Genomic DNA, 14,460 nt, shown 5'->3' with positions numbered 1-14,460 from the left:
TCTAATACAAAAATTAGCTGGTTATGTTGGCACATGCCTGTACTCTCAGCTACTCGGGAGGCTGAGGTGGGAGGATCACTTGAGCCCAGGAGGTTGAGGCTGCAGTGAGCTGTGATCATGCCCCTGCACTCCAGCCTGGGTGACAGAGTGAGATCCTCTCTCAACAAACAAACAAACAAACAAAAAATTTTAAAGAAAGAAAGAAAAGAAAAGAAAAAGAAACTGAGGCCCAGAGGGCAGTGTCTGACCAAAGCCACCCAGCCAAGCAGAGTGACATCCCTCGGTCTCCTGACTCCATCCAGGGCTGTCCTTCCACAACCCCCTCTCTTGTGCAGGGAAACTCAGTGCTTCTTAATGAGGTCTCTCTGGCCACCCATCTAACTTGGTGATCTCCACGTCATCAACACCCCCACACCTTTCTTTTTTTTTTTTTTTTTTTGAGACAGAGTCTCACTCTGTCACCCAGGCTGGATGGCAGTGGCACGATCTCAGCTCACTGCAACCTCTGCCTCACAGGTTCAAGTGATTCTCCTGCCTCAGCCCCCAGAGTAGCTGGGATTACAGGCACCGGCTACCACGCCCTGCTAACTTTTTTTTTTTTTTTTTTTTTTGAGATGGGGTTTCACTCTTGTTGCCCAGGCTGGAGTGCAATGGCACGATCTCAGCTCACCGCAACCTCTGCCTCCTGGGTTCAAGTGATTCTCCTGCCTCAGCCTCCCGAGTAGCTGGGATTACAGGCATGCACCACCATGCCAGGCTAATTTTGTATTTTTAGTAGAGACAGGGTTTCTCCATGTTGGTCAGGCTGGTCTCGAACTCCCGACCTCAGGTGATCCGCCTGCCTCAGCCTCCCAAAGTGCTGGGATGACAAGTGTGAGCCACCGCACCTGGCCTAATTTTTGTATTTTTAATAGTTATGGGTTTTCGCCATGTTGGTCAGGCTGGTCTCGAACTCCTGACCTCAGGTGATCCACCCCTTTCTGCCTCCCAAGTGCAGGGATTACAGGCACGGGCCACCACGCCCGGCTTCTCTGCATTCTGTTTCTCCTGGCTTTGTTTAGTCTCTGCATCCCCGCTGAGCTCCAAGAGGGCGGGGATTTCGTCTGTTTTCCCCTCGGCCCGATCCTCACCACCTGTGGCAGGCACTCGATAGATATAGGAGTTGATGAATGAAAGATTTCTGACCTGTCAGGGTGGTCTTTGTGCCTCTGTGAGGGTCCTGGGTGCAGTCTCTCATACATGACTCCAGGGGACACACTGCTGGCTCTGCAGACACTGGCATGGCCCTCTGCTTGCACCCCAGGCTGGCAGAGGTGGGCACCTACAGACTGATCCTGGGCTGGGACCGTTCCCACCAGGTCAGAGAGCCTTGGTAGCAATGCCTTTTCCTTCTCTGCCTCTTAAAACAAATGAACAAATCACCTTTCTTTCCCCACGCCCTCCCCCAAAACATTGTTGTTATAGAAACCACGGAAAACTGTATATATGTATATAAAAGGGACTTAGGTGGGCGTGGTGGCTCATATCTGTAATCCCAGCACTTTGGGAGGCCGAGGCAGGTGGATCACTTGAGGTTAGGAGTTTGAGACCAGCCTGACCAACACGGTGAAACCCCATCTCTACTAAAAGTACAAAAATTAGCCAGGCATGGCAGTGGGTACCTGTAATCCCAGCTACCCAGGGAGGCTGAGGCAGGAGAATCGCTTGAACCCAGGAGGTGGAGGCTGCAGTGAGCCAAGATCACGCCATTGCACTCCAGCCTGGGTGACAGAGTGAGACTCCATCTCAACAAAACAAAACAAAAACAAACAAACAAAAGGACTTAAAAATCCACCCCACAAAGATAACCCTGTGGATGCCGGCGCCTGCCTCCCCCCGCCAGGTGGCTGTGCACAGCTGAGGACCAGGCTGCCCTGTGGCTGCACTTAGGGCTGGGAGGCATTGCCTCATGTGCGACTTTTCCTTGCAGATCACGAAGCACTTGTCGGACCTCCAGACCTCAGGGTGGGCGTGGAACCTCCCAGCTTTCCCTTCTCTTCCTGCTCTTCTTCCTCCTGGTCTCCTGGGTCCTTGCCCCCCTGCCTGCTCTCCTGCTCACTCTCAGACTCAGTTTCCCCAGTCATGAGGAGGGGTGTAATGTTGGAAAGCCGTGCCTCCCTGGATGGAGACAAGTGCCAGGCTGGACACCCCAGAGGGACTCACAAAAGATAACCTGAGCCTGACTCTCACCCGAGGCCTTGGGGCTTGGGGTTAGGGAGGAAAAGGGTTGGGGTGGGATGGAATGGGGTTCAAGTAATTAAAGAAGCAGCCCCCGGCTGCCTGGCCCTCCTGCTCCCAGGGATTTCCACGTGCATCCTGGAGCCCCAGGACCTTCCAGGAAAGGGAGTTTTTTCCCTAGGTCTTGCGGAAGAGCTGAGTAGTGGCAGCATTGTCTGGTGATCTGGAAGGCTATGCCTGGGTTTGATGGGGTCTTCAGCCTGTGCCTGCCCGGGGCTGATTCCCCACTGCAGTGGCTCAAGGCTGGGACGTCAAGGACCCCTGAGGAACCTCGGAGGCCTCTTCCTCCCCAGCTTGTCCTTTGAGTGAAGTGGGTGGAAGTCTCTCTCTCTCTCTCTTTCTCTCTCTCTGTCTGTGTCTGTCTCTCTCCCTCACTCTCTCTCTCTCTCCCTCCTCTGGTCCCTTTCTCCCGCTCTCTGGGCCACCAGGCCCCTGATAACACTTGGAAGGCGCTATCGGCTCAGGAGTGCCCTCCTGCTTGGCCCATGGTTCTACTCCACACCGACGGTTGGCAGCCGGCACCGTGCGATAAACTTATCAGGCCAAACCTGAGCATGCCGGGTCGGAACATGCCCTGCCTCAGATTTCCCTCCCGCAGCATCCCTGCAGCCCCCATCCCCCGGGAACCCTGGGTCCTGCCTGTCTCCGGGCCAGGCCCAACTCCAGCTAGACACCCATGGAGGTGGTCCCGGACAGCCCCTGACCCAGACCAGAGGAAGAGCTGGGGACCCTGTGAGAAGTCACAGGTCCAGTGTCCACCCCACTGTTCCCAAACCAGGCTGTCACTCTACCTACCTTGGAGGCCCTGCCCCAGCTGCTAAGAAGGAGTCGGGAGGTTGCATACCCATCCTAAACTTACTGGGGACCTAGTAGGCCCTGGCCCCAAAGGATAGGACCCAGCATCTGCCAGGAGGTGGCTCACAGAGTAGCAGGGTGGGGGCGAGACAGCCAGCACTTGTAAAGTAAAAAGTCACCTGCCTGCAAGGCTCTGCACTGCACTAGAGGGGCCTGAAGGGACCTGCAGCTTTGAGGGAGGGGACAGAGACACAAACCTCAAGGCCGGGAAATCATATTTCAGCAGACAGAGTCTTTTTTGTCATGCCAGTGATAATGTTATCATGCACGCCCAATACAGAAAAATAAAACATACACACTAAAAAATAAGAAGAAAAAAGACACTGCCGTTTATCCTTGCACACTTCCTTCCGTGTGTGTGTGTGTGTGTGTGTGTATGTAATTAACAACATGAATCATGGGTTGTATACTGATTTTTTAAACCTCATTTTCACTTAAGATATCAATAGCTTCCTCTATCAATACATTTATTCTGCAAAATTATTTTCTCTTCTATTTTTTAGTTACCAAAAATCTGCAACAAACGCCAAGTCTCTTTAAAAAAAAGTTTGAGATGGAGTCTTGCTCTGTTGCCCAGGCTGGAGTGCAGTGGCGCAATCTCTACTCACTGCAACCTCTACCTCTGGGGTTCAAGTGATTCTCATGCCTCAGCCTCCCGAGTAGCTGGGATTACAGGAGCCCACCAAATTTTTTTTTTTTTTTGAGACAGAGTCTTGCTCTGTTGCCCAGGCTGGAGTGCAGTGGCACAATCTCGGCTCACTGCAAGCTCCATCTCCCAGGTTCACACCATTCTCCTGCCTCAGCCTCCCGAGTAGCTGGGACTACAGGCGCCCGCCACCATGCCCGGCTAAATTTTTGTATTTTTAGTAGAGATGGGGTTTCACTGTGTTAGCCAGGATGTTCTCAATCTCCTGACCTCGTGATCCGCCCGCCTCGGCCTCCCTAAGTGCTGGGAATACAGGCGTGAGCTGCCGCACCCGGCCAAATTTTTGTATTTTTAGTAGAGATGAGGTTTCACCATGTTGGCCAGGCTGGTCTCAAACTCCTGACCTCAAGTGATCCACCTACCTTGGCCTCCCAAAGCACTGGGATTACAGGCATGAGCCACCATGCCCAGTCACAAGTCTCTTTTAAAGGTGGCACTGAGAGTGAAATTTAACCCTCTGTTCCAGCCCCCAGAAATAACTGCGGTCAATGGTTTTGTGGACTTTCTTCAGCTGTGTTTTACTAAGCATACACAGACAGAGGCTTACAGAACCCGCATGCTAGCATGCCACATGCATTCCTCACTCCACATCAGCCTGATAAACTCCTCCCCGGGTCAGGTCTTCTAAAGCATGCTTGCTCTTCTTCCTGGCCATGTGGTCATCTGTTGCACCAACGGCTTGGCCAGCCTCCTCCCATGGGCATTAGGATGGTTCTGATTTCTTTCTTTCTTTCTTTCTTTTTTTTGCCATTATAAACAGGCTGCAAAGATGCTCTTGCAGCTGAATCTACATTCCCATCAGTAATTACTTCTCAACTTTTTTTTTTTTTGAGACGGAGTCTTGCTCTGTCACTCAGCCTGGAGTGCAATGGCATGATCACGGCTCACTGCAACCTCTGCTTCTCAGGTCCGCCTCTCGGGTTCAAGAAATTCTCCTGCCTCAGCCTCTTGAGTAGCTGGGATTACAGGCGCCCGCTACCACACCCAGCTAATTTTTTTTTTTTTTTGTATTTTTAGTAGATACGGGGTTTCACCATGTTGGCCAGCCTGGTCTCGAACTCCTGACCTCATGATCCACCCGCCTCGGCCTCCCAAAGTGCTGGGATTACAGGTGTGAGCCACTGCTCTTGGCCAATTTTTTTTTTGGTGGAGAAGGGATCTGGCTATGTTGCCCAGGCTGGTCTTGAACTCCTGGGCTCAAGCAATCCTCCCACTTGGGCTTTGCAAAATGCTGTGATGATAGATGTGAGCCACTGTGCCCGTCCCATATCTATTTCTTGAAGATACATTCCTAGGAGTGGAATGGAGGGTCATGGGCGATCACATTTCAAAAGCTTTTCTTATGAACTTGACTTAAGCCTGAGAGGGTTCAGAACAAGAAGAGGGCATTTCAGGCAGAGGGAACACGAGGGGCAAAGGCTCGAGGGTGGGAAACAGCATTGAGTTCTCTTGAGAACATTTAGGAATAGCAAGAAGGGCCCTGCTGCTTGTCCAGTGACCCCAGGACGCGGGGTGGGGTGGGGCCTCACTCTTCTGGGTCCCGCCCTCCATCCAGGGCCGGGCCGCCCTCCCCTCCCTGAGCAGCCTCAACAGGGTAGCAGGGAGAGCCCAGGCCAGACTGACACTGAGGCTGGAGCTGCTGTCGCTCCTGATACTGACAAGACCGGCCTCCAGCCAGTGCCCCTGCTCTGTGCCCCCAGGCCGCACTGCACACCCACCTGGGTCTTCCTTCTAAAGCTCAGCCCATGTCATAGCAGCTCCCTCGGGGCTTCGGGCCCATAAGTCAACGGCTGCAATGCCTTTAAGAACTCCTGGGGGTCTTCAGTCTCCCCTGATGCACAGCGTGTGCCATGCTGTGCCCACTCCCTGCACTCCTTCCTGCTTCCTTCTCACTTCTGGCCAGCCCAGATTCTTCTGTGTTCTCGGTTCCTTCCCGTGGAACAGCCTTCACCCACACCACACTGAGTGGGAGCCCCCATAGGGCAGGGATTGCAGAGAGGGGTTTGAAGTCAGGGGACTGGGGTCAGCCCTGAAGGCTAGGTCATGGTGAGCAGCTGGGGCTGGGGCTCAGTTCTCTAGGCGATGGGGTGGGGGATGTCTGATCTCCAGGGAACCTTCAGGACAGGTCCTGATCTTCTGGATCATACAGAACCCTGTTTACTTCCACTTCCCTATAGCCCGAGTGCCCGGTCCCTGCCTCCTTACCTCGGTCTGTCCACCCCGCTTCCAGGCCAGCTCACTCCAGTCGGGCAGATAGAGACAGGCTGGGGCCAACACATGTGTGTGAGTGCACACACGCACAAATCTCCAGGCTCACCCTGGGAGATGCATTTCCATCCTTATCAGTGATTTCCATGGCGGGCTCACTGGGCACCTCTCAGTCTGTCCCTCAGGAGGCCCTGGCCCTGGGCCTGGTTGCCCTGTGGGATGTGGCCTGCTTGGAAGAGGGGCTTCTCCTGCATCCAGAGGGAATGCGGGGTGCAGGGCCTGCAGTGTAGCCTGAAGCTGTCACCACGAACAGGACATTTTATCTGAAAATTAATTCAGATGTTACATTCCACTCCCTAATGTGGCTGGCTAGTTTTGATATTAAAATATTGGTTTTGTTAATTACCATGGAGTAAACTGATATTCTGGGTCATGTCACCAGCAGCATCCTGAGGTCTCACGAGTCCCCATTCAATCCTTGGAAGCAGGGGGTCAGTGCCACAGTCTAAGGAACGCTTCCACCCCACCCAGCCACCCACCCCACCAACACCATTTACACCGTATTCTATGCACATGGAGCACCCTGGAGTCAGGCAACCCAGAGGCCCTGCTAGGACGGCCACTAGACTGGGGCTGGAAAACCTGGGTTCTGTCGTACTATGCTGTTAATGGCAATGTGACCTTGGGCTAGCACCTCTCCTCTCTGGGCCTCTGTTTCCTTGTGTGGCACATGGAAGCCACGGACAGTCTCCACAGGGCTGGACAGTGCCTTCCAGGTCACATTGCAACTCCGGTGGCAGGAATTGCAGGCCAGGTAGTTGGCCGCAGGGAGCTGACGGGAAGTGGAGAATTGGTGGGGGAGCTTGAACTTCCCTGAAATCACAGACTGCAGGTGGGTGGTGCCCCACAGCACCTCCTGGGCCACCTCCCCGCCCCAGTGTCATGGGCATAGCCTCTGCATCCAGAAGGAGACGGAACATCCAGGGAACTCTGTCCCACTGGGGCCCATCCAAGTCTTCTCCAGGGCTGCCTTCTCCTAGGGGCTCCCAGCTCTGCACATGAGGCCAGCCTGCAGCAGCTTCTCAGGCATGAGGAAGGGTCAGCAGCACCGCCCTCTGGCTCACAGCAACCCCCGAGCCCCAATCCACGGACTCAGCAGGGCCAGGAAGCCCAAGCCAAGCCTTCCCAGCCAGTGCAGAATCTTCCCCTGGAAGCAGGTGTCACAGGCTTCCCCACTACCTGCCCTCTTTCTCTGCTGTATGCAAATGGGGTTCCAGCCCCCACTGCTCTGAGGCTGCTGTGGCCTTCCGCTGGCGCCACCCCACACACCCACTCACTGGAGGAGCCCGACAAGCTTAATCTCGATCTCGCCAAACCTCAGTCGACAAAGAAGGAACATTGTCTGGCTTCCCCTCACAGCTCAGCTCCTCCGCCTTGCCCCGCCCTGCTGCAGAAGTGGCTGAAATCCCGATACTGGTTTGGTTTTGTTTAGCAAACAGGGAGTATGCAAAGCAGCTCCCAATCCGTGTGTGTGCATGTGTGCATGTGTGTGTAAGAGATGAGTCAGGAGCCCATTCCAGGCCTGGCCCCAGAAGTGTGGCTGTGGGCAAGGCCCTTCCCCTCTCTGGGCTTCTCTGTCCTCCTGGACAGGAGGAGAGGTGGGAACAGGTGGTTTCTAAGGCTTTGCTGGCTCTGGTGCTCTGGCCACCAGGGTCCCTCTTCTCCTGATTCCAAGAGCTGGATTTCAAGACAGGACACCGACAGGGAGCTTGCTGAGGAGACGGGACCACCCTCCCATGCAAATCCCGAGCCCCGAGCCCACCCCGCACACCTGACAGGTTTGCTTAGAGGAATTCTGGCTAAAGGAAACAGGAAGAGCTTCTGGCAGGAAATGGATGTCAGGATTCTGCCTAGCCAAATGCAGAGCCTGGGGGTGGGTGAGAGTTCCATTCCTCTTGGGGGCCCAAGCCCCTTGCACACCAGAGAAGAGACCTGGAAGAAACACTTTTGGGTTTCAGTGGGAGGGAGAGTACACAGACTCCAAAAAGATAGCCTCAACTCGGAATCAGTTTCTGATCCCAGTCCTGCCTTTACCTGCTGTGTGACTTTGGGCAAGTAGGCCAACCTCTCCCTCTCCCTCTCTGGTTCCCAAATTAACCTTAGGAAAACACTGAACACCCAAATCCTCCCCTTGGGGATGGACACATGCGTATCACACGTTATAGGCTCTAAGAAGCAGTTGCAATAGACTGAACGTTAACCCAGAGTTCCTCCCAGTTATTTGAGCAATGTGATCTCTACTCCGTCTAAAGCAAACGAACCCCCGGAGGCTTGTGGCGCACGCCTGGGGAGCACCAGAACGGGTCTGAGGCATGTCCAGCCGGCTCTGTGGGCCTCTCTGGAACCACGAACATGAGTCTGAGGACTTGTCACTCACTCCCCTGATGATCCATTGAACAGCTTCTAGTTTGACCCAGGTTTGAGCTGCCCACAATGGATGCGAATTGGGCGTTTGCATGGGACATTTGCCATTTCATGACAGGTTGAGCCTCATAAGTTGGCATGCAATCAAATACACGTTAAACAAGTCAGTTCATGAACCGACAGAAACCATCGGACGATAGTGGCGTTTCTTTGGAAAGAATCCTTCTTTCTCTAGGAAAGAGGGTCTCTCTGTGGGTCCCAGCTCTGGTCTACTCTTGGCATCCCTGTCTCCCTGGGGGTATTCCAGCTTTCTGTGCTCTGCTAGAGGAAGGCACCTGAGCACACCTGGAAAGGGTAAGCCCTAGTATCTATGTTTGTTTGTTTGTTTGTTTCCGAGATGGAGTCTTGCTCTGTTGCCCAGAGCTGGAGTGCAACGACAACATCTCGGCTCACTGCAACTTCCACCTCCCAGGTTCAAGCAGTTCTCCTGCCTCAGCTTCCCAAGTAGCTGGGTTTACAGGCACGCGCCACCATGCCCAGCTAATTTTTGTATGTTTAATAGAGACAGGGTTTCACCATGTTGGCCAGGCTGGTCTCGAACTCCTGACCTCAAGTGATCTGCCCGCCTCAGCCTCCTAAAGTGCTGGGATTACAGGCGTGAGCGCCTGGCCCATATCTGTGTTTTTTTTTTATGTTTGACCTCTCTGGGCCTCAGTTGCCCCATCTGTAAAATGGGAGAATGGCATTCCATTGCAGAAGGTTGTGTGGGTTAGAGACAATGTATGGAAACCCTTGGCTTAGCTCAGTACCTGCAAGTTCATTCAGAGGTGTCCATGGCTGTGGGCCAGGCACAGGATTGGTGTGGGATGGGGGGTGGGGTGCGGCTGGAGCTCAGACAGAAGACCTCCTGAAGTTATCCACACATAACTGCATTCCACATTCAATGGCTCCTAAGCTGTAAGCAAAGAGACTGAGTTGCTCGGTATCAGAGGAGAGAGAAGACCTTCTGGCTGGATGACCCAGGGAGGCTTCATGGAGGAGATGGCTAAGTGGGCCTTGTAGGATGGACAGGACTTCAAAAAGGAATGTTCACAACTCGGCAGCACTTACTACGTGCTGGGCTGGACCTGTATGCCACTTTGTAAGAATGGTCTCAGCGAATCGGTGGAAGGGACTGCTGTGTTTACCATTTTACAGAGGAGGAAGCTGAGCCCCAGAGAGGTTCAGGAACTCACCTGAAGTCACACAGCTAGACAGGTGTGGCACCAGGCTCAGCTTCATCACACCTGCAAAGTCCCTTTTACCCTATAGCGTCACACTCATAGGTTCCAGGGTTAGGATGTGGATATCATCTTTGGGGCCATTATTCAGCCAATCACGGTGATTACGTTCAGGATCTTGAGATGGGATGATTTATACCTGAGCTCAGTGTAATCAGAAGGGTCTTTATAAGAGAGAGGCAAGAAGGTTGAAAGCAGAAGACAGAGATGGAGGCAGAAGCAGAGATCCAAGTTATGTGCTTTGAAGGCAGAGGAAGGGGCCAAGATCAGAGGCACAGACGGCCTTGGGAAGGTGAGAGACAGGAAAACAGACTCTCCTGGGAGCCTGCTGCAGGAATGCAGTCCTGCTAACACCTTGATGTTAGCCCCATGAGACTCATTTTGAGTTTCTGGCCTCTAGAATTTAAGAGAATAAATGTGTGTTGTTTTAAGCCACTAAGTTTGTGGTCATTTGTCACAGCAGCCACAGGAAACGGATACCGCCCCAGCTGCACTAGCCTTGCCCACCCCTGTGGTCTTGTCGCACGGGCCCCTTCTGCTTGCTCCTGGCTCGTCAGCGGGTCTGTGCACGTGGGGGCTGAGTACACTTCTCCACAACTTGCCTATGAGCACCTCCATGGCTTTCTCTGCTCCTCAAGCCTCCCCGCATCACTCCCCAAAGCCTCGTGCAGTACCCTGGACCTCATAGGCACTTAATAAATGCTGGTCACATGGCAGCAAATCTGTATCTTTAATTTTATTGACAGCAGTTGAGAGAACAGGCTTTTGACAGCAATAACTGCCAGTTTCTCCAGCCTCACGGCCTGGTTGTGGAGCTAGAATCCCCAGAGGCCAGCTGAGTGCTGGTCGGAAGTCGGAGTCAGCCAGCACATCTGGCCGAAGCAGAGGGGGTGCCAGGCTTCTGACTGGGGTGGGAGGCAGCTCCGACTCTGCCTGTTATAGCCAGAAAGAGGCCGGCTAAAATCCAAGGTGACCAGGTCCCAGCTCAGTGGGCAGCAGGCAGGTGGAGGTTCTGTCTGTGGGTCCCAGCTCTGGTCTACTCTTGGCATCCCTGTCTCCCTGGGGGTATTCTAGCTTTCTGTGCTCTGCTAGAGGAAGGCACTTGAGCACACCTGGAAACAACTTCTGCTGAGAAAGACCCAGCCAGGCTCCCACACTTGGCAGCAGGAGAAATGTTGATCCAGACAGGGTAAGTGACTTGCCCAAGGTCACACAGCAATTTCATGAGTCTCAAAACAAGCTGGTAGACTCCTGTCCAGTCCCACCTCCAGGAGACTGGAGATTTGGGCATGTGAGGCTGGCCTCCAGGTGACAGGACCGCAGGGCAGGCTGGCCAGGAGCTGGGAGCCGGCGCAGCCTCACTTGAGATTGTGCTGGCTCTCGCGGTGCCGCCGCAGGTCCACCTTGCGCTGGAAGCCTTTGGTGCACAGCTCACAGCTGAAGGGCTTGAAGCCTGTGTGCTTGCGGCTGTGGGTGATGAGGTTGGAGCTCTGGCTGAAGGCCTTTCCGCACACCTGGCACTTGTGCGGCTTCTCACCTGCAGGGAGGGCAGCGCAGCACAGCAAGGGCGGGGTCAGGGCCTCCTCACCAGGCCTGCTGCTCCCCTGCCCTGCCCCCGGGTTCATTTTCCAATACCTTCCTGTGTTTTCTCTCATGGCCAACTCACATTCACTTTAGAAAATAATTAGAAAAGAGAGAGAAGCAAAGATACAACTTGGACCCTCCTCCACCCCTACTGGATTATAGGGTGGTTAGGGGCAGCTGCCGAGTCATCTTGTTTATCAATACATCTCCAAGCCTGGTATACCTGGCACAAAAGAGGCACTCAGCTAATAGCAAGGAGGCAATGAATAAGCAAGTGAATGAATGAGTGAAGGAATGAATAAGCAAATGAATGAGTGAACAAATGAATGAGCAAATGAGTGAGCGAATGTGTGAATAAATGAGCAAATGAGTGAATGAGTGAACAAATGAATCAACAAATGAATGAATGAGTGAACAAATGAATGAGCAAATGAGTGAACAAATGAATGAATGAGTGAACAAATGAATGAGCAAATGAGTGAACAAATGAATGAATGACTGAACAAATGAATGAGCAAATGAATGAGTGAACAAATGAATGAGCAAATGAATGAATGAGTGAACAAATGAATGAGCAAATGAGTGAGCGAATGTGTGAATAAATGAGCAAATGAGTGAACAAATGAATGAGCAAGTGAGTGAGTGAATGAGTGAACAAATGAATGAGCAGTTCGCCTGCTAGTCTCATGTCTGCCATGAGATCAACAGTGTTGAGATTTTGCTGTTTCCTCCCTGTATTTTTTTCCATGCATTAAGTGCACTTAAGTAGCACAGGTGCCCAGCCCTCCATCAGCAGTGGCCTTTGACTTTGTAACTAGACCCCGCCCCCAGCCTCACGCTGGGGGCCTCTGATGCATCTCTCAGGGAAAGGTGGGGGTGCTCTGCCCAGGGGGCACAGGCAGGTGAGACTCACTCACCTGTGTGGATGTAGGTGTGCTTCTTCATGTCGGACTTCTGGTGGAAACGCTTGCCGCAGAACTGGCAGGGGTAGGGCCGCGTGTCTGAGTGGATGAGCAGGTGGGTGGACAGCGTGGACGAGCGCTTGAAGGCCTTGCCGCACATGCGGCACTCGAAGCTGCGCTCCTGCCGGAGGAAATGAGGCCCCGGGGGGTCAGGTGCAGGCTCAGGACTGGACCCGGCCGGGATCCCCTGCGGAACAGGACACTCCATTGGGGCGGCCTGGAGGAGCAGGACCGGGGGACCCCTCATCTCTGCCTCTGAGGTGAAACTGGGGCTTGGAGTCTCATTGGTCTCCTGTGGGATTTTTCCTTGTAATCTTCACGGTATCCCGCTCAAAATAAACCTCAATAAATGTTCGTTGATTGACTGATGGACTGACTGATCTCAGAGGTTCTTTAGGGGTTCACATTTCATGACCATTAACCTAGAGTGAGTTCCTTGAGGCAGGGATGGTTGTGGTCTGCACGGTGGTTTAGTTAAGAGTCTGAAGTTTGTTAAGGGCAGGTGTTGGAGACCCAGACCCAGGGAGGTGGGTACTAGGGGACCCCTCCCAATCTGTGTCACCCCCAGGGGCAGGGGGAGGGACCCAGCCACAGCCCCCAGGCTCCCTGGGGAAGCACAGAGAAGGAGTGGGGCTGGGAGTCCTGCGCTGGGCCAGGTGCCCACCTGGGAGTGGACGTGCGTGTGCTGCTCCAGGCTCACAGCGTGGCCGAAGGTTTTGCCGCAGATGTCACAGGCGAAGGGCCGGGTCCCACTATGGGAGCGTCGCACATGCACTTCGAGCCCGTGAGGGGTGGAGAAGACCTGGGAGCAGGGGCAGCATGTGAGGCCACTGGGGGCTGCGGTGACAGGGACAGGCCTGGGGTCCCATGGTCTCTTCCATGCCCAGCTCTGGCCAAGGCTGGGTACACAGAGTAAGGGGCACTGGATTGCCAGTTCTGCTGCTTGCTTGCTGTGTGTCCCAGGGAGGTCCGTTTGCCTCTCTGTGGCTCAGTCTCCCTTCTACAAAGTTGGATGTGAGAGAGGGGATCTGGAGGCCCCTCCTTGCCTCATCTAGAGGCTGAATAGCCCAGTGGTTAAGAGCTGGGAGTTGGCCGAAGCTGGGTTTGAATGCTGGTTCTGATATCTACTTGCTGTCTGATCCTGGAAAAGTGACTTAACCTCTCTGAACCTTAACCTTTCATCTGACTCTGGCACTCATGCCTGTCAATTGCTTAGCACAGGGCCAGGCACGTGGTCAGAGCTCAATGAATGGTGATGAGGATGAACGTTTTGAATCCTTAATCCCACCAGAGCCCCAACATTCACAGCACAGAGAACGCCCAGAGCTGCCAGTGAGTTGAGAGGGAGTGCGGAGAGGAGGGCCCAGGTGCCCACCACACCCCCCGCTGCCCACCTTGTTGCACTTCACACAGTGGTACGCATCCATGCCTGGGGAGTAGCGGAGGCTGAAGTCCAAGGCGGGCTCAGTGCTGGGCACAAGAGGACTGCCGTACAGGCTGACGGAGTGCTCCAGGAAGGCTGACTGCATGGTGGAGGGGGCCTGCCGGTAGCTGTGGCCATAGGTTGTGGCCAAGGTGTCCCAGGAGAAGCTAGGCTTGTAGAATGGGGGTGAGTCGGACAGTGGAGAGTCCCCATCCTGGGGTCGGGACAGCACAATGGGGCCCTCTGTGGAGATAACGACACAGGCCTGGTTACTCATTTAAACACAGGGGGTTGGGCACAGTGGCGTGGCTCATGCCTGCAATTCCAGCACTTTGGGAGGCTGAGGCAAGTGGGTCACTTGAGGTCGGGAGTTCAAGACCAGGCGGACCAACGTGGTGAAACTCTGTCTCTACCAAAAAATACAAAAATTAGCCAGGCGTGGTGGCTCACGCCTATAATCCCAGCTACTAGGGAGGCTGAGGCAGGAGAATTGCTTGAACCTGGGAGGCAGAGGTTGCAGTGAGTTGAGATCGTGCCACTGCACTCCAGCCTGGGCAACAGAGTGAGACACTGTCTCAAAAAATAAAATGAAATAAAATAAACACAGGGCACCCCCTTCCCACCACCCTCTACCACACACCACTACCTTCATCACCTCATGTGGAGGGTTTCAGGGTGTCAACCCAGATACTTACTGCCAGGAATGTCTGGGTCCTCACTGTGGCTCCTCAGCTTTTCCAG

The 14,460-nt window shown here is 53.8% G+C and overlaps 1 protein-coding gene across 8 annotated transcripts in view, besides 4 other annotated features; it reads right to left on the bottom strand.

Moving 5' to 3' along the window:
• Positions 769-1,269: an enhancer, noted in NCBI's record as "H3K4me1 hESC enhancer chr9:135876277-135876777 (GRCh37/hg19 assembly coordinates)". NCBI's record gives its function as "activates a minimal SCP1, AML or CMV promoter by ChIP-STARR-seq in primed H9 embryonic stem cells {active_cell/tissue: H9 hESC(primed)}" and the evidence as "EXISTENCE:reporter gene assay evidence [ECO:0000049][PMID:30033119]".
• Positions 2,431-3,353: a transcriptional cis regulatory region, noted in NCBI's record as "candidate enhancer chr9.3630 targeted for multiplex CRISPR interference". NCBI's record gives its function as "positively regulates GFI1B gene expression with high confidence in K562 cells {active_cell/tissue: K562}" and the evidence as "EXISTENCE:mutant phenotype evidence [ECO:0000015][PMID:30612741]".
• Positions 7,237-7,797: an enhancer, noted in NCBI's record as "H3K27ac-H3K4me1 hESC enhancer chr9:135869749-135870309 (GRCh37/hg19 assembly coordinates)". NCBI's record gives its function as "activates a minimal SCP1, AML or CMV promoter by ChIP-STARR-seq in naive H9 embryonic stem cells {active_cell/tissue: H9 hESC(naive)}" and the evidence as "EXISTENCE:reporter gene assay evidence [ECO:0000049][PMID:30033119]".
• Positions 7,798-8,358: an enhancer, noted in NCBI's record as "H3K27ac-H3K4me1 hESC enhancer chr9:135869188-135869748 (GRCh37/hg19 assembly coordinates)". NCBI's record gives its function as "activates a minimal SCP1, AML or CMV promoter by ChIP-STARR-seq in naive H9 embryonic stem cells {active_cell/tissue: H9 hESC(naive)}" and the evidence as "EXISTENCE:reporter gene assay evidence [ECO:0000049][PMID:30033119]".
• Positions 8,725-14,460, bottom strand: part of GFI1B (growth factor independent 1B transcriptional repressor) — a 47,904-nt gene continuing 42,168 nt past the window's right edge. For 2 of the 8 annotated variants that reach the window (NM_004188.8, NM_001377304.1), the window contains 4 exons: positions 13,691-13,962; positions 12,961-13,098; positions 12,252-12,417; positions 10,472-11,287 (listed from right to left, as the gene is read on the bottom strand). In NM_004188.8, the coding sequence (NP_004179.3) occupies positions 11,109-11,287; positions 12,252-12,417; positions 12,961-13,098; positions 13,691-13,962 (755 nt within the window). In that variant the 3' untranslated portion in view covers positions 10,472-11,108. Of the gene's footprint in view, positions 8,816-10,471; positions 11,288-11,319; positions 11,422-12,251; positions 12,484-12,960; positions 13,099-13,690; positions 13,963-14,460 lie in introns of those variants that run through there. The other 6 variants (NM_001371908.1, XM_006717297.4, NM_001135031.2 and 3 more) reach the window with 4 other exon arrangements.

Source organism: Homo sapiens, chromosome 9, assembly GCF_000001405.40.
Source record: "Homo sapiens chromosome 9, GRCh38.p14 Primary Assembly".
NCBI classification, from domain to species: Eukaryota; Metazoa; Chordata; class Mammalia; order Primates; family Hominidae; genus Homo; species Homo sapiens.
This window is presented reverse-complemented; position numbering and strand designations above follow the sequence as displayed.